Raw genomic sequence first — 27,274 nt, forward strand, 5'->3', positions numbered from 1 at the left:
AGTTGTTATCAGCTTAAAATGGACTATTATAACTATAAGATGTTTTAATATGCCTCATAGCAATCAGGAAGCAAAAACTTAGCAGATACACTAAGATGAAGAGAAAGGAATCAAAGCATACCACTACTGAAAATCCTCAAATCACAAATAAAGATAGCAAGAGAGGAAAAAAATCATGAAAGAGCTGCAAACAACCAGAAAACAATGAACAAAATGACAATAATCAATCCTTCTCTATCAATAATTACTTTAAATGTAAATGAACTAAATTTGCTGATCAAAAGACACAGGGTGGCTTTATGGATTTAAAAAATACAAAAACAAGGCCAGGCCCAGTGGTTCACACCTGTAATCCCAGCACTTTGGGAGGCAGATGTGGGTGGATTGCTTGAGGCTGGGAGTTCGAGACCAGCCTGGCCAACATGGTAAAACCCCGTCTCTACTAAAAATACAAAAATTAGCCGGGTGTCGTGGCGAATGCCTGTGGTTGCAGCTACTAGGGAGGCTGAGGCAGGGGAATTGCTTGAACCTGGGAGGCAGAGTTGCAGTGAGTCAAGATTGTGCCACTGCACTCTAGTCTGGGAGACAGAGTGAGACTGAGTCTCAAAAAAAAAAAGAAAAAACAAGACCCAACTATATGTTGCTACAAGAGACTGAGACTGACTTCACCTTTAAAGCTACACACAGATTGAAAGTGAAGGGATGAAAAAAGATATTCCATTCAAATGGAAAGCAAAGAGCACAGGGGTAGTTATACTAGACAAAATAGGCTTTAAGTCAAAAACTAACAAGACAAAGATGGTTATTATATAATGATAGAGGAGTCAATTCATAAAGAGGACAGAACAGTTGTAAATAATATGCACCCAACATCGGGTACACTTAAATATATAAGGCAAATATTCACAGATCTAAAGGGAGGAATAGACAGCAATACAATAATAGCAAGAGACTTTAATACTCCACTTTCAACAATAGATAGAACATTCAGACAGGAAAACAGTAAGAAAGAAAACATTACACTTGAATTAACTTTAGACCAAATGGACTTAACAGACATAAATAGAACATTCCATCCAACAACAACAGAATGCACATCTTCTCAAGCACACGTGGAACACTGTCCAGGACAGAGCAAATGTTGGGCCACAAATCAAATCTTAATAAATTTGAGAAGATATAGATCATATCAAGTATCTTTTTGGACCACAATGTTATGAAACTAGAAATCAATAACGGGAGAAAAACGGGAAAGTTCACAGATACATGGAAATCAAACATGCTTCTAAGCAATCAATGGGTGAAAGAAGAAATCAAAGGGGAAAATGAAACATTTTGAGACAAAGAAAAATGGAAACAAAACATACCAAAACTTATGGGATGCAGCAAAAGCAGTTCTAAGAGGGAAATTTATAGCAAGAAATGCCTGCATTAAAAAAGAAGAGGCCAGGCATGGTGGCTCACCCCTGTAATCCTAGCACTTTGGGAGGCCAAGGTGGGTGGATCACTAAAGCCCAAGAGTTTGAGACCAGCCTGGGCAACATAGGGGATCCCTATCTCCACACACACACACACACAAAAATAATAAAACATAAAATTAGCTGGATGTTGTGGTACGAGCCTGTCATCCTAGTTACTCAGGAGGCTGAGGTGGGAGGATCACTTGAGCCTGGGAGGTCAGGGCTGCAGTGAGCCGAGATTGTGTCCCTGCACTCCAGCCTGGGCAGCAGAGCGAGACCCTGTCTCAAAAAAAAAAAAAAAAAAAAAAAAAAAAAAAAAAAAAAAAAGAGAGAGAGAGAGATTTGGACTTTATGGTTCTGTGGTAAGCAAAAGAAGTGAGGTGATGGATAGGTTAATTAGCTTGATTTAATCATCCTATATATACACACATCACATTGTACCCCATAAATGTTTATGATTTGTCAATCAAAAGTAAAGAAAAGCAATGTTGAAAGCATTGACAGAAAAGTTAGGCATTCAAAATGCAATATTTCTCTGAACTGCAGTTTTCTTATTTGTATAAAACACAACAAAACAAAAAATCATGTTGCATATCCTAAATATATACAATTTTTATTTGTCAGTCATACTTGAATGAAGCTGGAAAGGTGCGGAGCTGGGATGGCGCTGCCTGGGAAGGAAGAGCCGCGGCGGGATTGGTCTAGGAGGAGGCCTAGGCCCGACCTGCGGTGGTGGGTCTTGCCTCGACGGGGCTGCTTCGCGCCCTCTCCTCTGCTCCAGCTTCGCCCACTTCCCCTTGCCAGCGGGCTAGGCACAGGGGAGACCTGCCGGAGCCACGGAAGATGAGGTGGCCCGCAGTGCCAAGAAGATGGACAAGATGGTGCAGGAGAAGAACACGGCCGGAGCACTGGGTTTGTTAACAGAGCTTCAGAATGTTCTGGAATTACTGCGGTCCACAGGAACTGGAATGTTACTTAATGTTAGTCTCAAGCAGAGTGCAGATGAAGAAGTTACATCTTTAGCAAAGTCTCTCGTCAAATCCTGGAAAAAGTTACCAGATAAGCCATCAAGTGAGAAAGACCCTAAAGAAAAGCAAATAGAACCTGCAATGACATCGCAGAATAGCAAAAGAAAGTAGCTCCGGCGGCAATGTAAGCGGCAGAAAGGATAAGACAAATGCTTGAGATACTTGTTTCATCTGTTCCTTGGCACGAAGCACTTCTGATTCTGTGCGGATGAAGTACAGGGAGATGCTTCCTGCAGCCCTTCGAACAGGAGATGACTGCATTGAAATGGGAACTGATGAGGAAGAATTAGGATCTCGAACTGAGGAAGCAATAGATCCAGAAAGAGGGAATACAGGCATGAAGTACAAAAATAGAGTCCAAAGTAAGATATCAAATCTTACAGATGCAAAGAATCCAGATTTAAGGAAAAATGCACCGTGTGGGAATATTCCTCCTGACTTACTTGCTAGAATGACAGCAGAAGAAATGGCTAGTGATGAGCTCAAAGAGATGCACAAAAACTTGACGAAAGAAGCCATCAGAGAGCATCAGATGGCCAAGACAGGTGGAACCCAGCCTGATTCGCTCACATGTGCCAAATGTAAAAAGAAGAATTGCACTTCCACACAGGTACAAGCCTGCAGTGCTGGTGAACCAATGACAACGTTTGTTGACTGTAATGAATGTGGAAATCAACAGAAGTTCTGTTGAGATGCAAAAATTGGCAAAATATCTGGACCACTAAGAAAACGGATTTTGTAATTAGCTTAAACCTAGGACAAGCAACTAGTTTTCCTGCAAATCAGATTTTTAGAGCAACATACATCCCGCGGGTTAGGCTTTGTTTTTGACCCAGCATCCCTTCCTTAATTGTCTTCTGTAGTTCCTGATCAGTAGGGAGACCACAGGATAATTGTATGGGATCTGTTTTAAAACTTTTTTTCATTTTTATAAATAAGTCGATATTAAACTTTTATAAATTAAACTTCTGGCAATTTATTTTTTTTCTTTCTTAAAGGAAAATATACCCTAATTTTTTTTTTTTTTTTTTTGAGACAGAGTCTCACTCTGTCACCAGGCTGGAGTGCAGTGGCACGGCTCACTGCAACCTCCACCTTCCAGGTTCAAGCTATTCTCCTGCTCAGCCTCACGAGTAGCTGGAACTACAGGTGCACACCACCACACCCAGCAAATTTTTGTATTTTTAGTACAGACGGGGTTTTACCATGTTGGCCAGGATGGTCTCGATCTCTTGATCTTGTGATCCGCCTGCCTTAGCCTCCCAAAGTGCTAGGATTACAGGCATGCGCCACCGTGCCTGGCCATTTATTTATTTATTTATTTGTTTGTTTGTTTGTTTGTTTGTTTATTTATTTATTTATTTATTTATCGAGATGGAGTCTCACTCTGTTGCCCAGGCTGGAGTGCAGTGGCACAATCTTGGCTCACTACAACCTCTGCCTCCTGGGTTCAAGGGATTCTCCTGCCTCAGCCTCCTGAGTAGCCAGGTCTACAGGTGTGCACCACCATGCCCTGCTAATTTTTGTATTTTTAGTAGAGACAGTGTTTCACTGTGTTGGCCAGGCTGGTCTCTAACTCCTGACCTTATGATCTGCCCGCCTCAGCCTCCCAAAGTGCTGGGATTACAGGCATGAGCCACTGCACCCGGCCAACTTTTTTTTTAACAGTGTGAAATATACACAGTAGAAATTCTGTTATTCTCTGTTATTAGTACATAAATGGAAATAAATTTTTTCCCATATTGGCATGTATCTACAAATATTAAAGGAGGAGAAAAGGTAATATACTTTTAGGTTTACCACATATGGTGTGTATTCAAATAACACGTGACCAGCTTATCAAAATTGTACATAATATTTGAACTAACTTATTAATTTGATTTTAATTATTATGTCCAAAAGCTTGGGATGCTAGATACTACTTTGCATCTGTAACCAACTGTGATCCTCATTTCTTGTAATTTCTTGTGCTTATATATTACTTGTTCTTAATAGATTTTACTTTGGAAACAAGACTGTTGAGATCAGTTTGGTTTTGTTGTTAATTTACCTGTTTGACTTCATAATGTATTTTAGTTTTGCAGAAGAACACTTGTAGATTAGAAGGCTTTTCATAAATCCCCTCACAGGCAAAGAGGAAAACTTCCCGCTATTTTATTTCCCTCATAGGAAGACATACTGGAAAGAAAACGTTTAGCATCTTAGTATAGAATAGCTATTGTGAACAGCTCATGACTTGATCTTGATATGGAAATCTGGACTGACCAGTGGTTAAGCTTAAGGATTGTAAAATCATTAAAGCTGTGGTCTTTTCACGTGGAGGTTGATAGAAAACATTTTTGTCCTAAGTCTTATTTGCTGACTTTTTCTGTCAATGAGGGAGGTTGTTGAACAAACTGAATCTGTGGGCTATAGCAAGTAGCTTTACAGCAGATCTTACCATGAAGTTTTACTTTGTGTTTAAGTGGGTACCACTTTTTCTGTTTAGAATAATTAAAAAATGATTTTCACAGGTTCCTTGGGGTACGCTTGCTCTAGCACACTTTGAAGGCCACTGTTGCAAAGTACATTTTATCATGCTGAATCAGCGTTCTATCACTTACCTGTAGAAAGACCTCAGTACATGCTTTGCACCCTCCTTTGCGCCCCCTTTCAATTTCTTATTGCAAATCATTTTAATGTAATATGGAACAGAGCATTTTAAAATGTCCATGTTAAGAATTGGCCCACCGGTACCAACTCACCTCTATTTTGTCAGTTCATAGTTGAAGCTTTTGTTTTATCATTTTCAAAAATAAAGTATATTTTTAGAACAATGAATTTAAGAATGAAGAAAAGCTGTGAAAAATGCCACAAATTACCATATGTGTATTTTGATATGCAGATGTAGCAATATGCATAGAGAGAGTCTAGTAAAGTGGTCTTCAACTCGGGGAGATTTCGGACCAGGGGACATTGACAAATGTCAATAGATATTTTTGATTTTCATGCCTAGATGAATAGGCCAGGGATGCTGATAAACAACTCGTAGCAAAGAATTAATTGGCTTCAAAATCAACAGGACTGAGGTTGAGAAGCCCTGGTTGAAAGTTGCTATAAGAATATTGGCAATTATCTCTAGCATTGATAGGGACATTAGGATGCTGTGTAGGGAACAATTTTTTAATTTTAAAAATTATTTATTATTTATTTTTAAAATTTGAGACAGGGTCTCACTGCGTTGCTCAGGCTGGAGTGCGTGGTGCGATCTTGACTCACTGCATCCTCTGCCTCCCAGGCTGAAGCGATCCTTCTGCCCCAGCCTCCTGAGTAGCTGGGACTATAGGCATACACCACCACATCTGGCTAATTTTTGTTGCCTGAGGCTCCCACAGCGCTGGGATTACGGGAGTGAGTTGCTGTGCCAGGCCTTTTTGTCATAATTTAAACAAAGTACTTTTTTTCAACAGGTAAGTTGCTGGTTCCACACCTCTTCCAAAAAATATAACAAATGAAAGGTTTGAAAATATATGGGTCGCTTCTCCACCCTCATCCCTATCCCTATAATATGCATTGTTGGTTTCTTTATGAACCTTTCCAGACATATTTATGCATATCAGACCAAGTAGAAATAGAGCTTCTTATTCTCTCTTTTTCTTTCCCACCATAAAGTATATATTATATTTGGTTTAGCACTTTTTTCTTTAACAATATGCCTTACACTGTTGTACTGAAGTCATTTTACAATCATATATATATTTTTTGAGACAGAGTCTCACTCTGTTCCTTAGGCTGGAGTGTAGTGGCACAACATTGACTCACTGTAACCTGTGTCCCCGGGGTTCAAGTGATTCTTCTGCCTCAGCCTCTTGGGTAGCTGGGATTACAGGTACATACCACCACACCCGGCTAATTTTTTGTATTTTTAGTAGAGATGAGGTTTCACTCTGTCGGCTAGGCTGGTCTCGAACTCTTGACCTCAGGTGATCTCCTGCCTCAGCCTTCCAAAGTGCTGGGATTACAGGTGTGAGCCACAGGTGCCTGGTCTTACAATCATATATGTTCCTTTGAAATTAAAACAAATGAGAAATATTGAGCCTTGTTTGGGAGGGAGTTGGAATTGTCGGGAAGGGTTAGTCATTTTCATTCACAAAGATGACTATTCCACTTCTAGCAGCTGGGAAGCTGAAGAATAATTTAAAAATTGAGACAAAAATAGCTATTGCAGGCATAGAAGTAGGTACCAGTAGATGATGAATTTGTCTTCTCAGTACTGATGTTGCTCTACTGAGAACGATAATTCCATGTCTTTAGACATCAGTGCTTTTTATCCAGGAATACCTCTCTAAAGCACTCTAGTGCTCACATGTCTGCTCCTACCCACTGCACTGAACTTAGAGGGTCCATGTGCCTAACGGGCAGGGCACCGAGGGCAGCCTCTTGTCAAGAGACAGTGGAAACTGAGGCCCTCAGTCCTTCAGCCCGTGGAACTGAAATTCTGCCAACAACAGACTCTTTCCTCGTGCAGCTTATCAGACACCTGGATTACAGCCTCAGGGGGGCCCCTGAGCAGAGGACCTGCTAAGCTGTGCCTGGACTCCTCAATCGTAAACACTGTGTGATAAGAAATTGTGTATTTTTATGCAGCAATAGATAACTATCACAGTTGTGAAATCACCACTTTTCACAGTGACTAAGAGCCAAAGCAGGTGCCAATCACTAAAATTTCCTTGTCAAGGAGGGCACTGTAATGTCATTCCACTGGTGAAGAGAACTTGGAGCAGACTTCGTGAGTTTCAAGGAATCACAGGAAACAAAATCACCTCCACTACAAGCTGGGACCTGCAGTGTGTGTGTACGTGAGCGATGGAAGCTGGGGTCTGCAGGGTTGTGTGTATGTGAGCAGTGTGAACTGGGGGGGTCTGCAGGGTGTGTGTATGTGAGAGATGTGAGCTGGGACCTGCAGGGTGTGTAAATGTGAGAGATGTGAGCTGGGGTCTGCAGGGTGCGTGTGTGTGAGCGATGTGAGCTGGGGTCTGCACAGTGTGTGTATGTGAGCTATGGAAACTGGAGTCTGCAGGGTGTGTGTATATGAACAATGGAAGCTGGGGTCTGCAGGGTGTGTTTATGTGAGTGATGAAAGTGCCACCCTGATGTGTGTTTCTGCTCTAGAATAGCTTCAGATCTGGAGTGTAGCCATTCTTGAAAAAATTTTGGAAATAGCAGTGATGACTGTACAACATTGTAAATGTCGTTAATGCCACTGAATTGTAACTCAAAATACTTATAATGGCAAATTTTATGTTACATATATTTATTAAGAAAAGATAAATACAAAACAGCGTAGAGTCAAATTCTCAGCTGTGCACAGCACATTCTCCAACCTCTAAAGAGAAACTTGGGTGGAAAGCCTGTGTTCTTTCAAATCCTGGCAGTAGAAGAGTAAATTGGTAAACACCTGCCAGTTGGGCAAAAAACAAAAAGCCCAGGTGTTGCCTTAGGTTTTTGTTTTTCCCTCTAGGTAGGAAAAGAAGGGGCCCAAGCATTCCCAAAGGTGAATTTCAGGTGGACCTAAAATGCTAAAAGTTTGTGTTGTTCTCTTCTACAAAAAGCTAAATTAGGTACTAGGGCTGGGGCAAAGCATTAGATAAACTGGAAAAAAGAAAAGAAAAACTCCTAAAAACAAAGAAAAAAAAAAGAAGAAGAAAGAAAAGAAAAACCCATTTCAGATGTTGCGAGAGTCTCCTATCCCCCATTCTAGGCATTTCTTGGCAGCTGTAATGTTAACTCTCAAATGCCAATTGCACTGTTGAAGGTTTGAGTAAACTTGGAAAGGAAAATTTAAAAAACTTGAAATGAAAGAGAGTTTTTAAAAGCTGGCTTTGTGTCTTATGGCTACTGCATCTAGATATATGATAAAAACCATATTCTATGCTTGTAATTTCATAAACATTGGAGGAATCATCCTCATCAGGGAAGCTGCCAAAAGCAAACAAAACCCAGGATGGTATACAACTGCCTTGCTTGTTGCAGCTGGTGAGGGAATTGAAATGCAAGTTTTTGAATATGAAAAGGAAAATAATTTCCATAACTGACAATTTTTAGTATGATTTTCACCTATGGGAGCCTCTGAAAAAGGGGAGACAATATGAAAAGACAGGCACTCTCTAATTGGAGATACACTTTTAGAATTTTAAATATTAGTTTTTAGTTCCTAATGAGCTCTTGTAAGATCAGATGCCTGCGCCTTAGAGGCTGATAATTTTCTGGCCTCTGAGCATATTTTTGAGTGGGTCCATTTGGACTCAGCAAATAACAAGCCAAACAGGGCTTAGGAAAGCCTTGCCCGTCACTGGGACCAGCAACACCGCTTTCCCACTCTGCAGGGCTTTGGCTTTGCTACAGCGGAACAAAATCTGTTGGCTTTTTGTGGGGTATCCTAACTCACAGATCCTAATTGCCTGGACCTGACTCTGAGATGAAACCTTACACTATCTGCTGCTGGCTCTTTCAGCCTCAGCACAAACTGTGCTGGACAAAAAACTCTATAAGCACAATAAACAGAACTCAGACTCTGGTATCACTGCAGATTAGGACATGCCTGCATGGGATCCCAAACTAAGAAAACATCATGGATGCTGGCTGGACTGTGTGCATCACACACAAATGCCCACAAGAAAGGGCTTGTTCTCTTACAGGACCATCTGCAATCAGGCTTCTGATCAGCCTCATATGTCTGACCCAAAAACTAATTGCATTCCTAAACTTGTGATTTCTGCCCCAAACAAGTTTGGGGTGAACACATCACAGGGACTCTGAACTCCCTGCCCACTCCTGGCAGATTGGACTCTTGACCCCCTTTGGGGGTCTTGCTGCTGTCTGTTGATTATTTTATTTGGCTTTCTGGATTACTTGCAGCTTGCAACAACAGCCTTCCTTATGTTTCTCCTGGTGTACGCACTTCAGTAAAGCAAGGTGATCTGTGTAAACCCATTTTGATTTTTTTTTTTTTTTTTTTGAGATGGAGTCTCCCTCTGTCGCCCAGGCTGGATTGCAGTGGCGCCATCTCTGCTCACTGCAAACTCCGCCTCCCGGGTTCACGCCATTCTCCTGCCTCAGCCTCCCAAGTAGCTGGTACTACATGTAGGTGCCCGCCACCATGCCCGGCTAATTTTTTGTATTTTTAGTAGAGACGGGGTTTCACCATATTAGCCAGAATGGTCTCGATCTCGTGACCTCGTGATCCGCCTTGGCCTCCCAAAGTGCTGGGATTACAGGCGTGAGCCACCGCACCCGGCCTTGAATTTTTTTTTAAATTCAAGATTTCGTCCTAATTTCTGAATGTGGCATGTCTTTTTACTTAAATTGCATAATAATGTTTTCCTGCGACAATGTTTTTATTCCTCTTCCAGACAATCCTTCCTGACGACATGTCTGAATGAAAGTCAGGTATGATTTCAAAAATGTAAAGTAATGATTGCTGAAAAGGACACACTGATTTTGCAATAATGAGAGAAAAAACAAAATCCTAGTAACTGGAAGGTCCAGGAAGGGGGAAGGCATTCATGATCTCTGTTGTTCAAGGCCATTCCTGAAAGCTCTCTCCTCCTCCGGAAGAAAACCCCCCTGTGCTGCCTTTCCTAGCTGCGGAGAATGTTTTGAATTCAGACTGATGGCCGAGGCAAGATCATGGGGCAGGGCAGACTATTGTCAAAAAAAAAAAAAAAAAAGCAAAAACCAGTGTCAGATAGAAGTTAAAGCAGCAAAGGCAAATTTTATTTAGAAACTATCTCAGTTGGGGAAAAGAGACATCAGTACAGAACTGGGCTCTATTCCAAATAGAACAAGCACAAGTAGGAATTTATGGCCAAGGGACAGGGGTCACTGGATACAAAATTACTAACAGGAAGCATCAGGGATAAGGGGGGTTCTGGTTAAACTAACTTAATAGATTCTCTCTCTCTCTCATTTTGGCTGGAGCAAAACTTTACTGTTCAGAGGCTCTGCTGGGCCACGTGTCCTCAGGATACCAGGCTGCTCTGGCCTCCTCTAAGGCATTCAATAATATTAGTAATTAAATAGCAAAGCTCATCCCCCAACTGTAATGTACAATAGAGGTCCCATTGTGACATTCCTGAGGAGTCTGGTCCCATGAGGTCAGGAACGCAAGAGGCAGAGGGGGCCCCCTGATGCAAAGAGGGTTAAGGCCACAAACGAAAAGGAGAAGGGACAGGGTTTGGGGGCAGCTGGTCTGGTCCAGGAACCTGGCTGGAGGCATGCAAGCTCCCTTCCCCTTCCCCCCGCACCCCCCAACTCTGTGGGTCTGGAGGAACCCGGGGGAGACCCTAGGCATGGGGATGCCCGAGGGTTTGCAGTCTGGCTGTGTGTCCATCCTACCCAGTGCTCAGGTCCTCGAGTGTTCTGGACCAGTCAGGGGGCTCCCAGGTGCATCTAGTAGCCCCTCCCATGCTAGGGCAGGGCTTTCCTTCATTGGAGGAGGAGCTGGGAAGGGCTTGACAGCGGGCCGGGCAGCCCATTGGTCTTAAGGCCAGAGTCCCCACGTTGGCCACGTTTGCCATACAAGAGAATGAGGGATGAAGAGGAGGAACTAGAGGATCTGTAGGCCGAGTCAGGAGCTAGAGGGTCTGGGGCTGGAGCCCGGTTAGGGGCTGGTCTAGTGGAGGTCCCGCTAGCAACAGCCTTATGGGTCCCGGCATTGGCCAGAAACTCCTCGTCCAGGCGTCAGAGCAGCTGCTCTGGTGTGTGCGGAAGACGCTGGCGCGTGTGGTGCTAAACTCTACACTGGGTTTGGACTGGGAAAGCCAGGGTGCTTCAGGGTGGTGGGCACGGAGAGCCCAGGAGTGCTCCTGCCCGAGCCCCGCTGCCCCTGCCCTGTGGCTCCCACGAGTGCTGCCCATCTCCATCCTTGCGCCCAACCTGCTCCTGCGCCCACGGGGCAGGGCTGAGGGCCCGCAGCTGGGCTCCCCTCCTCTCTCTTCTGGAGCTCCCCGGGGCTGACCCGGATCCAGCCGGTCCCGGGACTGGCTGCGCGGGGCAGGGGGCCGTCTCGGAGAGGCCAGGTGGTGGTGGTCAGCCCCCGTCTGGATCGCTTCCTCCGGGCCTAGTGCCTCATCCTCGCTGCGGGCACCAAGGGGGCGGCTCTGGGCTGAGAAAGCTGAGGAGTCACTGTCCTCGGAGTAGGAGCGGGGATGCGGCGGGCAGCTGATCCCAGGGCCTGGGAGCCTCGGCACCTGCTTTATGCTTTGTAAGCGAATAGGGGTCACCTAGGGCCCGGAGCGCCGGCGCTCTCTCGAGGGGACCAGGCTACCAGGGCAGGGGCTAGGGGTGGGCGACACCCTCTGCGGGGACAGGGTGCGGACCCTCGACGGGGGCGGGCAGTGGGTAGTGGAGGAGCGGCAGCGCGGGTCCTGACGGTCCAGGTAGCGCTCCAGCGGGTCGCCACACCCACGCGCGCCGTCACGCGGCTCCCCCGCACCAGCACAGAGACCAACAGGCCGGAGTCTCCCACGCGGAACTTCCCCTCCGAGGCCTTTATCTTGGGGAGCTGAGCGGGTGCAGAGTCCCAGTGTCTCCCTTGCCAGCTCGCGGAGCACTTCGGAGTCGCCCAGATCCGTGCGCCACTGGCCGATGAAGGTGGCCGGACTGTCGCGGGCCACGAAGAAGCCCAGCGCCAGCCACCCTGTGGGCCTGGAAGGTCACACTTCGGGATGCGCGGACAGCCTCATGGGTTCCCATACACGGGCCAGCCGAGCCACTGTGGGCGGGGGTACAAACCAGGATCGCTGTGAGGACCCGGCAGGCGCTCAGTGCAGACTAAGCCGCAGAGCACTGCACCGGCCTGTCACTCAGGCCAAATGTCTGGTTTACCTGCTGGCGCTGAGAAACCTCAGTGCCTCAGTTTCCTCATCTGCGAAATGGGTACAGTAAATTACCTGCTTGGTAGGATTCAATGGGATAATTTTTAATAAGCAACTTAGCGTCCATAAATACTGGCTACACAGCCTTTTTTTTTTTTTTTTGGAGATGGCTGGGGCCTCCGTCACAGGCAGGGAAGTGCCCACTGTGAAGGGCTGGGACCTGGAGAGATGAAGACAACGGCTGGGACCCCCAGTGGATAGGAAGGGAACCCAGGTCCCGACCTCAGGGTGGGTGACCTCCATGGTTCAGGGCTGTGCCCAGCCCACCTCCTGCGGGAAGGTCCGGGCTTCTCCCTTGATCCCCCTTCCCTAAGGGCTGAGCCATCAAAAAAACGACGTAGCAGCAGTAATGGTATCAGTAACAGCAATGCAGTGGCTAGGGCTGAGTGCATGGTGATATTATCTCCATTTTACAGATGAGGAAACTGAGGCGCGGAAAGGGTAAGAGCTCGCTGGAGGTCTCAGAGCTGTGGGTGGAGCCAGGGCGTCCAGGCTGCGCCGCGCGGCCTATCTCGGCGATCCAGCAGCCGAGCCGCGAAAGCCAGAACCCCCTCAGCCAAGAAGCTCCCCAGAACCCCAGGCCGTCGTTTGTGGGTCAGAACTGATGGCCCAGGCCCAGAGGGGGTGCAGAGCCGCTCAAGGTCACACAGCTCCAGGTAACAGAGGCTGCTAACGCTGCTGTCTGGCCCCGGGCAGGGAGTACTGGGGGTCTCCCCGCTTTCCTGGCTCATCCACCGGCCGCGGGAAGCATCGCCCCTGCAGAGGCAGGAGCCAGGCCTAGCCCGCAGCAGGGAGGCGCCTGCAAGCCACAGCTGGATCTGCCGGGCCGCTGCGGCCTCCTAACGGCGGGCCGGGATGATAACGATATTGACGGTAGGGGCTGAGGAATTTGATCAGGTATCAAGGATGATCAGAGACCTTGGTAGTGGTGGGAATTTTGCCTAATTTGACTCAACAGAGTCTTGAATAAGCAGGCCAAGGTCAGAGCCCCAGGTTGGTACCTTAAGGGCTTAGAGGGGCCTGACTAGCGTGAGCTTAGCACCGTTGCAGGCTTGACATCAGGGAGTCCTGTCATCAGGGCTGACTCCATACTGAACTGCTAGGGAACTCTGAGACCCACAAAGGAACTATGAGAAACACTTTCTTCACCAGCAGCCATGCTCTTAACAGTATACAACACATTATACAAGGCCTCCAAAGGGCCACTGTAACTCCAAGCTCTGGTTAGTGAAATTGTGTCATTTAGATAAAAAGAACAAGAAGAGGGCCATCATGTTTAAACATGTAACCAGCTGGAGTCCCTGGAGAGAGGGGACTTTCAATTTGCTTAGAAGCAGAGGCTCCCATTCTCACCTTGTCCGAACTTAAAACAAAGCAAGAGCAAGCAAAAAGATGGAGAGCAGTACCAAGAAACTCAAACAAAGGCAAATACCTCCACCAAGACAGGAGTTCTTTAGCATGAATGAAGACTTGTGGCTCCAGGTTCCAGCAGGCGCCCAGATCTCAAAGCGCAACCAGCTTTTAGTGAGTATCTCACAGATGTCGAAGAGACCACCAGAGCCACGGAGGATGAAGTCACATGGCTTCCCTAGTAATAAAAAGGAGGAATTAGCCGGTCAGGCCAATAAGTGTTTACTCAGGAATGTGGGTTGCAACCTGGGTACCAATGAGAGACTGTACCACCCAAGAGAGCAAGGGCTCACATCGATAGAAACTTATTTAGATTACATAAATTGTTTGCCAGATTATTTCATAAATAAAGAATTCTTTAATTGTTAGCAGAAGAGTCCTTTTGCATCAGTGGGTCAGGAAAAACCTATTCACAGTTTGTAAAGACAAGGACCAGAGTTTGGAGTTACAGTGGCCCCTTGGAGGCTCATTTGAACTTTTCAAACATATATATATATTTAAAGATAACATCTTGGAAATAAAAAGGTTTGCACTTCTCAGAATGTATGGGAAGCATACTTTAATTAGCATTCAGAAGGGATACACATAAAAAAGACCATGAAATCTAAAAGAGTTTTCCCAAGACACTGTTTCTAAGTTAGTAAAAGAAAACAAGCATTTAAATAAAAATCTTCAGGAGATAAAAATCTTCAGGAGGCTGGGCACGCATGTTCCTGTAGTCCCAGCAACTCAGGAGACTGAGGCGGGGGGATCACTGAGCCTAGGAGTTCAAGTCTAGCCTGGGCTAAATATAGTAAGACACTGTCACAAAAAATAATAATCAAATCTTCAGGAGAATGTTCATGCTCAGCCTTATCATATGCCCCGCCGGCAGAACTCCAACATTCCTATTCCCTCCCCTTTACAGCCACCTAAAACAGCTGAACCAAAACTTAGACTAGCAATCCCTATGATGACCTTCCCTACCCCTGTCCCAATTCCTACATACCCCTTCCAATACTCCCCAAATAAAGAGAATTTACTGGTGGCATCTTACACTCTGGTCCAGTTCTGAGTTGCCTGTGATACGACAGCCAAATAATTTGCCAAGGTGACTGAGGACCTCTCAGATTTGCCGAGGAATTCTCGACAGTCTGTACAAGTTATGTCCTAGAGTTTTCAATTTCTATCAGCTGATACATTTGCTGGTGGGACCAGGAGGAGGGAGACATTGGGCAAAAATTGGCAGGATGGGAAAATCCTTCTGATGATTGATTGATTGATTGCTTTAGATATGGAGACTCACTATGTTACTCAGGCTGGTTTTGAACTCCTGAGTTCAATGATCCTCCCACCTCAGTCCCCTGAGTAGCTGGGACTATAGGCACCCACCACTCACATTTGGCCTCTTATGATGATTTAAATCAAGATTTGCTCCAAGATATAGAAAAAGCCAAAGAATTGGTTGACACATTAATTAAAGTTATTCTCATGGCTTTTCCAAAGCCAGTAGATTGGAATAAAATTTTGGCTTGTGCTCAACGAGAAGGCAGACTAGTTCATGGTTATTCCAACAAACTAGAAAGTAATATTTAAATAAAATTCTGGTCTCTCAAAAGAACAGACTGATGCCACTTAAGTAGCACTTAACTCCATGTTTGTCAATGGTCTCAATGAAGATTTAACCGTATTAGTTAAGAGAGCATAGAAAATTAACAAAGATATTCAGGACCTGAACTCAGCTTTGGATCAAGTGGACCTGATAGATATTTACAGAACTCTTCACCCTGAAACAACAGAATATACATTATTCTCATTGCCACATGGCATTTACTCTAAAATTGACCACATAATCAGGAGTAAAACACTCCTCAGCAAATGTGAAAGGAATGAAATCATAACAAACATTCTCTCAGACCACAGTGCAATCAAATTAGAATTCAAGATTAAGAAATTTACTCAAAATCACACAACTACCTGGAAATCGAACAACCCGCTCCTGAATGACTCTTGTTGATTAATTAAGGCAGAAATCAAGAAGTTCTTTAAAACTATTGAGAACTAAGATACAATGTACCAGAATCTCTGGGATGCAGCTAAAGCAGTGTCAAGGGAAAATTTATACACTAAATGCCCACATCAAAAAGCTAGAAAGATCTTAAGCTAACAACCTAACATCACAACAAAAAGAACTAGAGAACCAAGAGCAAACAAACCCCAAAGCTAGCAAAAGACAAGAAATAACCAAGATCCAAGCTGAACTGAAGGAGATAGAGACACACAAAAAAAATCCTTCAAAAAAAAAATCAATGAATCCACGAGCTGGATTTTTTAAAGAAATTAATAAAATAGACCACTAGCTAGACTAATGAAGAAATGAAAGAAGATTCAAATAAATATAATCAGAAATGATAAGAAGAATATCATCACTGACCCCACGGAAATACAACCATCAGAGAATCCTATAAACACCTCTATGTGCATAAACTAGAAAATCTAGAAGAAATGGATAAATTCCTGGACACATACACCCTCCCAAGTCTGAACTAGGAAGAAATTGAAACCCTGAATAAACCAATAATGAGTTCTAAAATTGAGGCAGTAATAAATAGCCTACCAATCAAAAAAAGCCCAGGACCAGATGGAGTCACAGTTGAATTCTACCAGAGGTACAAAAAAAGCTGGTATCATTTCTCCTGAAACTATTCCAAATGGTTGAAAAGGAGGGATTCCTCCCTAATGCATTCCATGAGGCCAGCATCATCCTGATACCAAAACTTAGCAGAGATACAACAGAAAAAGAAAACTTCAGGTCAGTATCTTCAATGAACATTGGTGCAATAATCCTCAATAAAATATTGGCAAACCAAATCCAGAAGCACATCAAAAACCTTATCCACCACAATCAAGATGGCCTCATCCCCAGGATGCAAGAGTGGTTCAACATACACAAATCCATAAATGTGATTCATCACATAAACAGAACTAAAGACAAAAACCACATGATTATCTCAATAGATGCAGAAAAGGCCTTTGAAAAAATTCAACATCCCTTCATGTTAAAAACTTTCAGTGAACTAGGTACTGAAAGAACATACTTCAAAATAATAAGAGCCATATATGACAAACCCACAGCCAATATCATACTGAATGGGCAAAAGCTGGAAGCATTCCCCTTGAAAACTGGCACAAAACAAGGATACTCTCTCTCACCACTCCTATTCAACATAGTGTTGGAAGTTCTGGCCAGGGCAATCAGGCAAGAGAAAGAAATAAAGGTATTCGAATAGGAAGAGAGGAAGTAAAACTATCTTTCCTTGCAGATGATATGATCCTATATATAGAAAACCCCAATTGTCTCAGCCCAAAAGCTTCTTAAGCTGATAAGCAACTTCAGCAAAGTCTCAGGATATAAAATCAATGTGCAAAAGTCACAATTATTCCTGTACACCAAAAACAGGCAAGCAGAGAGCCAAATCATGAATAAACTCCCATTCACAATTGCCACAAAAAGAATAAAATACCTAGGAAGACAGCTAACAGGGGAAGAGAAGGACCTCTTCAAGGAGAAGTACAAACCACTGCTCCAGGAAACCAGAAATGACAAAAAGAAATGGAAAAAAAATCCATGCTCCTGGATAGGAAGAATCAATATCTTGAAAATGGTCATACTGCCCAAAGCAATGTATAGATTCAATACTATTCCCATTAAACTACCATTGAAATTCTTCATAGAATTATAAAAAAACTATTTTAAAATTCATATGGAACCAAAAAAGGGCCCCAATAGCCAAGACAATCCTAAGCAAAAAGAACAAAGCTGAAGGCATCATGCTACCTGACTTCAAACTATACTACAAGGCTACAGTAACCAAAACAGCATGGTACTGGTGTAAGAACAGACACATAGACCAATGGAATAGAGACCACAGAAAGAAGACTGCACACCTACAACCATCTGATCTTTGACAAACCTGACCAAAACGAGCAATGGGAAAAGGATTCCTTATTTAATAAATAGTGCTAGGAGAACTGGCTAGTCATATGCAGAAAATTGAAACTGGACCTCTTCCTTACAAAATCAACTCAAGATGGATTAAAGACTTAAATGTAAAACTCAAAACTATAAAACCCTGGAAGAAAAATCTAGGCAATACCATTCAGGACATTTTGTGACAAAGATGCAAAAAGCAATTGCAACAAAACCAAAAATTGACAAATGGGATCTAATTAAACTAAAGAGCCTCTGCACAGCAAAAGAAACTATCATCAGAGTGAACAGACAACCTATAGAATGGGAGAAATTTTTTGCAATCTATCCATCTGTAGTGAACCTCCTCATGGGTCACCCTTTGTACTGAATCCCTGAGTTCATCCTTTTCTTTCCCCAATGCAATTAGAAGCAATTAGCAAATTTTATTCTATTCATTAGTTTGAAAAAATATTATAACATATTAAATATATGGTCACCCAGTAGCTTGTCTTTTATGAGCTTTTGATTAAGAGTATCTAATGGTGACATTGTGTGTGTCTCTATTGCCAGATCATGCCAGTGCTCTCTTCACTAATGGAAATAGAGTAATTGATGTCTTTAAATCTAATCAGATTAGAGAACCAATTCCAGAAACCTCAGAGCCAATCCAGAAAATTTATTCTTAAGATTTTTTTCCTGTAGAGCTATTCTTGGTAGCAAACTTTGGATTAGCATTGTTAGGCGAAATAGAACCATTATGATGTGTGTGTATATGTTGCAGTCTTGAATCTGAAGGTAGTCTGGAGGCAGAACTCCTTTCTCCTCGGGGGGACCTCAATCTTTTCTCTTGAGGCTTCCCACTGATTGGATGAGGCCTGCCCATACTATGGAGGGTGGAATGTAATGGACTTTACTCAAAGCCTCAAACTATGTTTATCACATCTAAAAAATACCTTCCCCACAACATCTAGGCTGGTGTTTGCTGAAGCAACTGGGCATGTGTTAGTCAGGGTTCTCTAGAAAAGCACAATAGGGTATGTGTGTATGTAGGTGTGTTTGTGTGTCTGTGATTTCTGTATATGTGTGTGTACATGTATATTTACTTAATTGATATTTGTTTAATTTTTGGTTACTTATCTATTATCTATTTACTTATTTGGAGTTGGCTCATGCAATTATGGAAACTGGAGAGTCCCAAGATCTGCAGGGTGAGTTGGCAGGCTGGAGACCTAGAAGACCTGATGGTGTAGTTCCAGTGTGAGTCTTAAGGCCCAAGAACCAGAAGAGCCAATGGTATAGTTCCAGTCTACAGGCCAGCAGCCTCGATATCCTAAGAGCCAATGTTTCAGTTTGAGTCTAAAGGCAGGAAATAAAGAAAGCCACTGTCCTTCTTTGAAGGTCATTAGATAGCAGAAATCTTCCCTTACTTGGGGGCGGGTCAGCCTTCTGCTTCTCCTCAGGCCTCTCACTGATTGGATGGGGCCCAGCAACATCAGGAAGGGCAATCTGCTTTACTCAGTCAACCGATTTAAATGTTTATCTCACCCAAAAACACCCTTGCAGAAACACCCAGAATAGCGTTTGACCAAACAACTGGCCACATTGTGGCCCAGTTAAGTTGACAGATAAAATTAACCAACACAGGGCACTATAGTTTACTCTAGTTGACAGATGTCGCTATGACACTTGTTAAATCTCCAAGCAACATTGTGGATTTGTCTATTTTTTCTTTTCGTTCTCTCAGTTTTTGTATCGTGTATTTTGAAGTTCTCTTATTAGGTATAAACATCTTTATGATGATTGTGTTTCCTGGAGAAATTAACCTGTATTAAGATTGTGATATATCACCTTTTATCTCTTGAAATAACCAGTTGTTAATGCCCACTGTCCCCACTTCAGTATGAATACAATTCTTGAAATGATTAAGTGTAAGATTACCACCTAAAAACTCATTTTCTAGTTGCCCGCTGTGTTTTGTTTGTTTTTCATTTGGGCCTCTGTTTCACTTTTCTTGCCATCTTTTGGATTAATCAAATATTTTTAAATATTCCATTTTTATTATTTTATTGGATATTTATTATATTTCATTGCATTTTTTAGTGGCTATGCTAGGGATTACAATATGTATCCTCAGTTTATCGCAATCTATTTAGAGTTAAAATTGGACCACTTCACTTTAAGAGCCTTTCAACAATAGAATTCCACTTATTTACTGTCCTTTTTGTCATTGTTGTGATATATTTTATAGCTACATATTAATAAATCCCATATGATGGATATAATCCTGTCATTTGTGCCTTAAACTTTCAAAAAAGCTAAGAAAAATGTAGTCTTAAAAAAAATCTATCCATATATTCACCATTTCTAATGCTCTTCATTCATTTCTATGTATCCAAGTTGCTGTGTGATATGATTTCTCTTCAGATTGAAAAACTATCTCAGTTTTTTGTTTTTAGTGCAAATCTGCTGGCAATGAAATATCTTCATTTATTTAAATGTTTTTATTTCATCCTAACTTTTGAGATATAATTTCCTTGATAGAGAATTCTGGGTTTATACTTTTAAAAAATTTCATCATTTGAAGACATCATTCCCTCATAGCCGGGCATCCACTGTTTCTGATGAGAAGCCTGCTGTCATTTGTTTGGTGTTCTCCATGGTGTAACTTGCCTTTTTATTCCTTCTTTCAGTATTTAAGGTTTTCTTTTTCTTTCTGGTTTTCAAAAGTTTTTCTATGTTCTGCCTAGATATGGTTTTCCTCATATTTACTTTCTTTGGGTTTTACTGAGCTTCTTGGGTCTATAAGGTGGTATTTCCCACTGTATTTTGAGAATCTTTAGCCGTTATTTTTTTTAAAGATTTTGCCATTAGTCCTTCCCCTGTGTCTCATTACACAGAGGTTTCATAATTTATGAAATTAGTGCTTCTGAGGCTCTGTTCACATTTGTCCAATCTATTCTTTTCTCCAATTTTCAGTTTGGATACTTTCTATGGATTTATCTTCAAGTTCATAAATAAGCCATTCAGTAATGTTTCATTCCAAATACTCAGCTTTAAAGTTCAAGGATTTCCTTTTTTTTTTTTTTTTGAGACGGAGTCTCGCTCTGTCGTCCAGGCTGGAGCACAGTGGCGCGATCTCGGCTCACTGCAAGCTCCGCCTCCTGGGTTCACACCATTCTTCTGCCTCAGCCTCCTGAGTAGCTGTGACTACAGGCGCCCGCTACCGCACCCGGCTAATTTTTTGTATTTTTAGTAGAGATGGGGTTTCACTGTGTTAGCTAGGATGGTCTTGATCTCTGGACCTCATGATCTGCCCGCCTCGGCCTCCCAAAGTGCTGGGATTACAGGCGTGAGCGACTGCGCCCAGCCAAGGATTTCCTTTTTTAAAAAAACAGTTTTTAGTTTACTGAAATTTCCCATCTGCTCACTCCTTATGATAATATTTAAGTCCATAAACTCAAAATAGCTCCTTCAAAATCTGTCTGCTAATTCCAAGATCTGTATCCTCTCAGGTATTTTTATGGGTACTTCTTCCCAGGATTTTGGATTCCATTGTCCAGGTTCCCAGGTCTACTGGTTCATGACCGTGTGCTGGACAGTGGGGATGCGATGTTATGTGGTTTCTGGATTGTGTTTTTATTCATCTCTAGGACCTTGAGTTTTGTTCAGGCAGTCAGTTGAGTTACTGGAAACCCTTTTTGTCTGGCTTTGTTCATACTTTGATAGGCTGGGTTTATGATGGCATTGAGCTTAATCTTAGGGCATGGTCCTTTTGCTAAGATGTAGTCTTCACTCTTCTATAGTTTCATTGAAATGCCAAGGTGTTCCTTAAGGTCTCTCCTCTCTGAGTAGCCAGAAGTGCTCACATACCTCTCAGCCCAAGCAGATGACCTCTGCTGGGCTCAGGAAGCCTCAGCCTGTGTAATTAGACTTGCTCTTGCTCACTATTACATGTTGAAAACTGTGGTATAATACAAAAAAAAATCTGCTCTTTCTCCCCAGTTCTTGACACCGTGCTCCTAAACTCTTGGAATATCCCGAGTGACAGGAGCATCTTATGTCATTCATAACAAACCCCTTTTCATCACACCTGAGCTTATGGTAACGGGGTGACTTAGGGTGAACCCCAAGACAGCCTTAGCATGGGACTAGTTAGTAGAAAGACCAAGTTGTTAGAGAGTTGGAACTTTCTGCCCTAATATCCAACCTCCAGGGAAGGGATAAGGGGTGCTAAAGATTGAACCCTCTATAAATGCTCAAACAATGATATTCAGAGAGCTTCTGGGGTGACACACACCCTGAGCTGCTGAGAGGGTGGCATGCCTGGGAGGCATGGAAGCTCCACAGAACCCCCCATACCTTGCCCTATGCATCTCTTCCATCTGGCTGTTCCTGAGTTGCATCTTTTAGAATAAACCAGTAAGCCTTAAGTAAAGTGTTTTCCTGAGTTCTGTGAACCATTCCAGCAAGTTATCACACCTGAAAGGGTGCAGTGCTTTGGGAATCCCCTGACTTTGTAGCCACGCTGGACAGAAATGTGGGTTACCTGGGGACTCAATACTTGCAACTGGCATCTGAAGTGAGGGGGCACTTGTGGGACTGAGTTTGTTTCCTGTGGAGTCTGACGCTGACTCTGGGAGCTTAGTGTCAGAAGTGAACTGAGTCACTGGACAGGTGTTTGGTGTCTGGAGAGTTGGATAATTGGTTGGTGTGAGAAAACCCCCCACACATTTGGTGTCCAAAGTGTTGTGAGTAAAAACAGCACAAATTCCAGACAAGCTTTTGCCACACCTCTCCTTCCCACATACTGGAGATTCCATTTCTTAATCCTGACCCAGATTCAAATTCCTTCAGCAGCTCAGCAAGACCATTGCTCCATTTGAACTTAATCTCATTGTGCCACAGCAGGAAAGTGTCCACAAAGCAAAGAGACAGAGGATAGAGGGACTGAAATCATGCATTTCTCTTCCCTCAAGGATCACTGTCCCCAAACGCCTGCTGTGTGCAATGCTTGAAAACAATTGTGTCGTATATTGTCAATTTTGATAGTTGTTTTTGAGTGCAAGTAGCTCGGTATGATACTGTCATCAGCAGAGTGGTAGTCACAGGTATTGAGCCTTTTAGAATCACTGTGGCTGTTGTGCAAACAGTGGACTGAAAGAATTAAGATTAGAAGCAGTTAAGAGGCTTCTGAAATAAGTCCTGAGGTTGCTGGAATAAGATGATGGCCTCAGGGATAAAGAGAAGAAAGGAAAAATGTTAGGTACCTAAGAGGCAAAAATGGAAAGGAATCAGTTTTTGTTTTGGGGGGTTAGGAGAAGAAAGAGGTAAAGGATTCCTTCTACAGCTCCTGTGTGAGCACCCTGAGTTGGTGCTATCCAGTGAAACAGGTCAAGTTGATACTCATATTCATACTTGCTTCTTACAAAAAATATTATATTTAAAAAAGAGTAACAAGTTTCATAAGTAAAGATTAAATGTTATTAAGTCATACTCTGAGTTTACTCAGTGTCTATGTGTCAGACATTACACTCTATGTTTTTACAGACACATACACTTCTGTGCAAAGACTATAGGATGCACACACTGCTATGCAGAGCACAAACACACGAGTGTAATTCTACAACACAATGAACGGACATTTTCAGAGACAGAAATCTATCTAAATTACCTTCTCAATGATCATTCTCAAAGGTGCACATCTGTTAGCTCCAACAGGAGGGTGTCCTGTCAGGGTCCTTTTCCCTGAGTTGAGAGTGAAGAGTATCTGTCATGAAGGGAGAAGTCACAGTCAGCTGGAATAAGGAGGCCGTCAGCAAGACAGGCTGTCAGGCTCTCCTGGGTTTTCTCTGGAAGACTTCAGCCCACACCTCCCCTCCTGGACACTGAGTGGGAATAACGAGAATCAGAGGCCACCCCGAACAACAGAGCTCCAAGTGGAGCTTGGGGGTCAACTCAGAGTCCTGCTCTTTCTCCCCCTCATTTGACCCCAAAGAGCAGCAGAGTACAGTGCAGTGGCAATGTAGATATTCACGAGCATTTTTTTGGCAGGAGTCTCTTTTGAGTAGTGTTTTTTTTTTGACATTTTTGGGACATTTAAGTTAGCAATGACATCAAGAATCTGATGGAAACCATAAGCTCTCACCACAGCAACATGCGCAAACTCAGTGGCTCATGGACTCTCTGCAGGTCACTGATGGTTCTTAGGTTAGGAAGGGGCTGGAGGCATCTCAGAATATTTATTTGCTGGTTACCTGATCCTAGCATCTGTAAGTGTGCTCAAGCGAGCGGATAGGCATGGATCTGGAATGCAGAGGAGCCCAGGCATGAAGCAGCAGCACAGGCAGCAACTTGCTCTGACAACACCCCCTGACTTCTCTGACTGGGTGGGTTACACAACCCAGCAGGCTGTCATCCTGACCATCAGGTCAGAAATGATTGGTGATAAAGTTAGTCACTCAGTCAGTTAAGTGGGCAGGCAGTGAAGTCAGCTTCATAGACTACTTATTAAGTTTAGTTCCAGTGTCAGGCAAGCAGCTGAGATTCAACATCATTCATTTAAACATTTTCGTTTATCTTGAGATATTTTTAAAGTTCCCTTTTCATGTTCTCTTTGACCCACTGGTAGCTCAAGAGTGTATTATTTAGTTTCCATCTATTTGTGAATTTTCCTGTTTTCTAACCATTATTGGTTTCTAATTTTCTTCCATTGCGGTAGGAAAAGATACTCGGTATGATTTTCAACCTTTTTTTTTTTTTTGAGACGGAGTCTTACTCTGTTGTCCAGGCTAGAGTGCAGTGGCACAATGTTGGCTCACTGCAACCTCTGCCTCCCAGGTTCAAGCGATTCTCCTGCCTCAGCCTCCCAAGGAGCTGGGACTACAGGCGCACGCCACCATGCCCAGCTAATTTTTGCATTTTTTAGTAGAGACGGGGTTTCACCATATTAGCCAGGCTGGACTCGAACTCCTGACCTTGTGATCCACCTGCCTCAGCCTCCCAAAGTGCTGGGATTATGAGCATGAGCCACCTCACCCGGCCGATTTTCAACTTTTTAAAATTGGTTAAGATTTGTGACCTAATGTGATCCTAGGAAAGTTTTGTGGGCATTTGGGAAGAATGTGTATTCTGCTACTATGTGGGAAGTTCTGTATGTGTCTGTTGGATCCATTCAGAATATAGCATTGATCAAGTCAGTTGTTTCTGTATTGCTCTTCTGCCTGGATATTCTATTATTACAAGTGGAGAATTGAAGTCTCCTACTATTATGGTATTGCACTCAATTTCTCCCTTTGGATCTGTCAATATATGCTTTATATATCTGTATATTTGGGTGCTAGTCACATAATTTGCAGTTTTTCAAGTGGATTTTTGACTTTTCATCAGCTTGGAAGAGCTTTTTTTTATCATACATATGAACTGTGAATAAATTTTCTTAGTTGATTTGGGTTGTTTTAGTCCCTCAAAGGTATCTAATATTTTATAGCAAAATCCTTTCCCCTTTCTTTTATAGTTTGTGTATTTTTGTTTTCATGTAAAAGTTGTCACAATCTCTACAATGCACATAGGTTTTCCTTTTTTATTGTCTGTTTCACCAACTAAAATGTGTTCTTCATGTGGAAAAGGACCTAACCTATCTTGTTCATCATTGTATCACCAGTTCCTAGAACAGGCCTCAAGTATGGCAACAACTTAATAAGTATATTGCGAGTACATAAATGAGATTATTTTTATTTCTGTAAAACCCCTTGTGTATGCACTTGACTGACTCAAGTAAAATGGTCTGAACTGGAGAAAGGAACTTTTCCCCTCACACTATGTCATACGGCCTTCAACTTGCACTGTTAGTGCAACAAGATCTCCATCATTGCCAAAGTATGTCAAAACTCAGACATTCATCAATAGCTCCAATAAGACAAAGTTGTCATATGGGTTAGCCTCTGATTTTTCTTTTTCAGATGGAGTCTCTCAAGCTGGAGTGCAGCGGCGTGATCTTGGCTCACTGCAACCTCTGCCTCCTGGGTTCAAGTGATTCTTCCAGCTCAGCCTCCCAAGTAGCTGGGATTACAGGTACCTGTAATCATGCCTAGCTAATTTCTGTAATTTTAGTAGAGACAGGGTTTCACCATGTTGGCCAGGCTGGTCTTGAACTCTTGACTTCAAGTAATCCACCAGCCTCAGTCTCCCAAAGTGCTGGGATTACAGGCATGAGCCACTGCGCCTGGCCAATTTTTCTACTAAGTTCTAAATTAGACATTGCCTGTATATTACCTGAACATCACCCCAAGACTCTTTCTCTGTGAGATGGTAAGCCCCATCTGGTAATTTTCCACCTGACCAAAATGGTTCCTGCTGGTGTAATAGATTCTGACATGAATTTATTCCCTGTCTACAGCTAGATGCACCTCACATGAGCACTTTTCCATCAGGGGCCAACTGGAAATTTTTCCTGGGAATTTAGAATATTGTATCATTAAAAAAATGAAGTAAAGCTGGGAAATAACAACAGCCAATATCTAGCTCTACTTTTAACCCAAATTATTTTGTCACCCTCCTACATTATAGCTGCTCTGTTCTTCCTCTGACTTTTGTGAGTCAACAAAGTCATCTTTTACCCAAATTAATTCAAGGTGGGTTTATGACATTAGAATTTAAGATCCTGAAGTATTACAAAAAGAGACTAAAAATTCAAATTTTCTCCCCCAATCCATTCTTTTAAAAACCAGGAGTCCCTGTACCCAAATTCTGAGACTCAATTCTCCAACTCACCCGTAGCAACCACCATCATCTTCTCTTCTCTAGATTTACATGCGTGCATGCATTTGTGCAAAATGGAAGGGCTGTTTACATAGCAGAGGGTCAGGGAACCAAAATAATGTTATGTTGATGAACCAACAATATTTCTATTTTAGCTTAACACTTGAGACACAGTACCAAATGGAGTTAAATTTTCATCACTAAACTTGCTGTGATCTTTATCTCTTCCGTTCCTAGTGTACTTGCTGAAATATGACTTCATTTATGACATTTCCAACTCATCAACCGTGTCAGCTGGGGACAGAGTTAAAATAACTTTTAAAAACTGAACTTCAGACAAATGTGCTTGGCTCTGGGAAATCTTAGAAAGTTTTAGCATATTAAGCAGAAGCCTGCGTTGCTTTTTTTCTTACATGCTTGATAGTATGAATATTTATCTGGAATTTTATTTTGTGCTGGTTATTATATGAAGTGTGTACTGTCCTCATCAAAGAGTGCTTTGTATAGAAATAATTCAGGTCAAAACATCCTCTTTCTTATATGAGTCTTCTTCAAGGGCCAAGTTAATAAAATTAATAGACTGAACCTTGTAACTCTTAAACATTTACATTTAAATTAGTGACATAAGATTGTATACATTAAAAAAGTCTATTCATTAGGATGTCAGGTAAATCCTAAAATGTAGAACACATACTTTAGGCAAGGAAAGTAATTTTTGTTTCCTCAAATTTAAGTATATAGGTTTCTTAA

General features: G+C 42.6%; 2 pseudogenes across 1 annotated transcript; one reads left to right on the plus strand and one right to left on the minus strand.

Moving 5' to 3' along the window:
* Window positions 2,145-5,320, plus strand: TCEA1P1 (transcription elongation factor A1 pseudogene 1; annotated as a pseudogene).
* Window positions 10,222-16,496, minus strand: GAS2L1P2 (growth arrest specific 2 like 1 pseudogene 2; annotated as a pseudogene). Its single transcript, NR_002942.1, is given in 3 exon segments — window positions 10,222-12,242; window positions 13,838-13,993; window positions 16,412-16,496. The product of NR_002942.1 is annotated as a growth arrest specific 2 like 1 pseudogene 2 (transcript).
* Window positions 16,497-27,274: the final 10,778 nt, after the last annotated feature.

The sequence above is a fragment of the Homo sapiens genome, chromosome 9 (assembly GCF_000001405.40).
Source record: "Homo sapiens chromosome 9, GRCh38.p14 Primary Assembly".
Taxonomy (NCBI): Eukaryota; Metazoa; Chordata; class Mammalia; order Primates; family Hominidae; genus Homo; species Homo sapiens.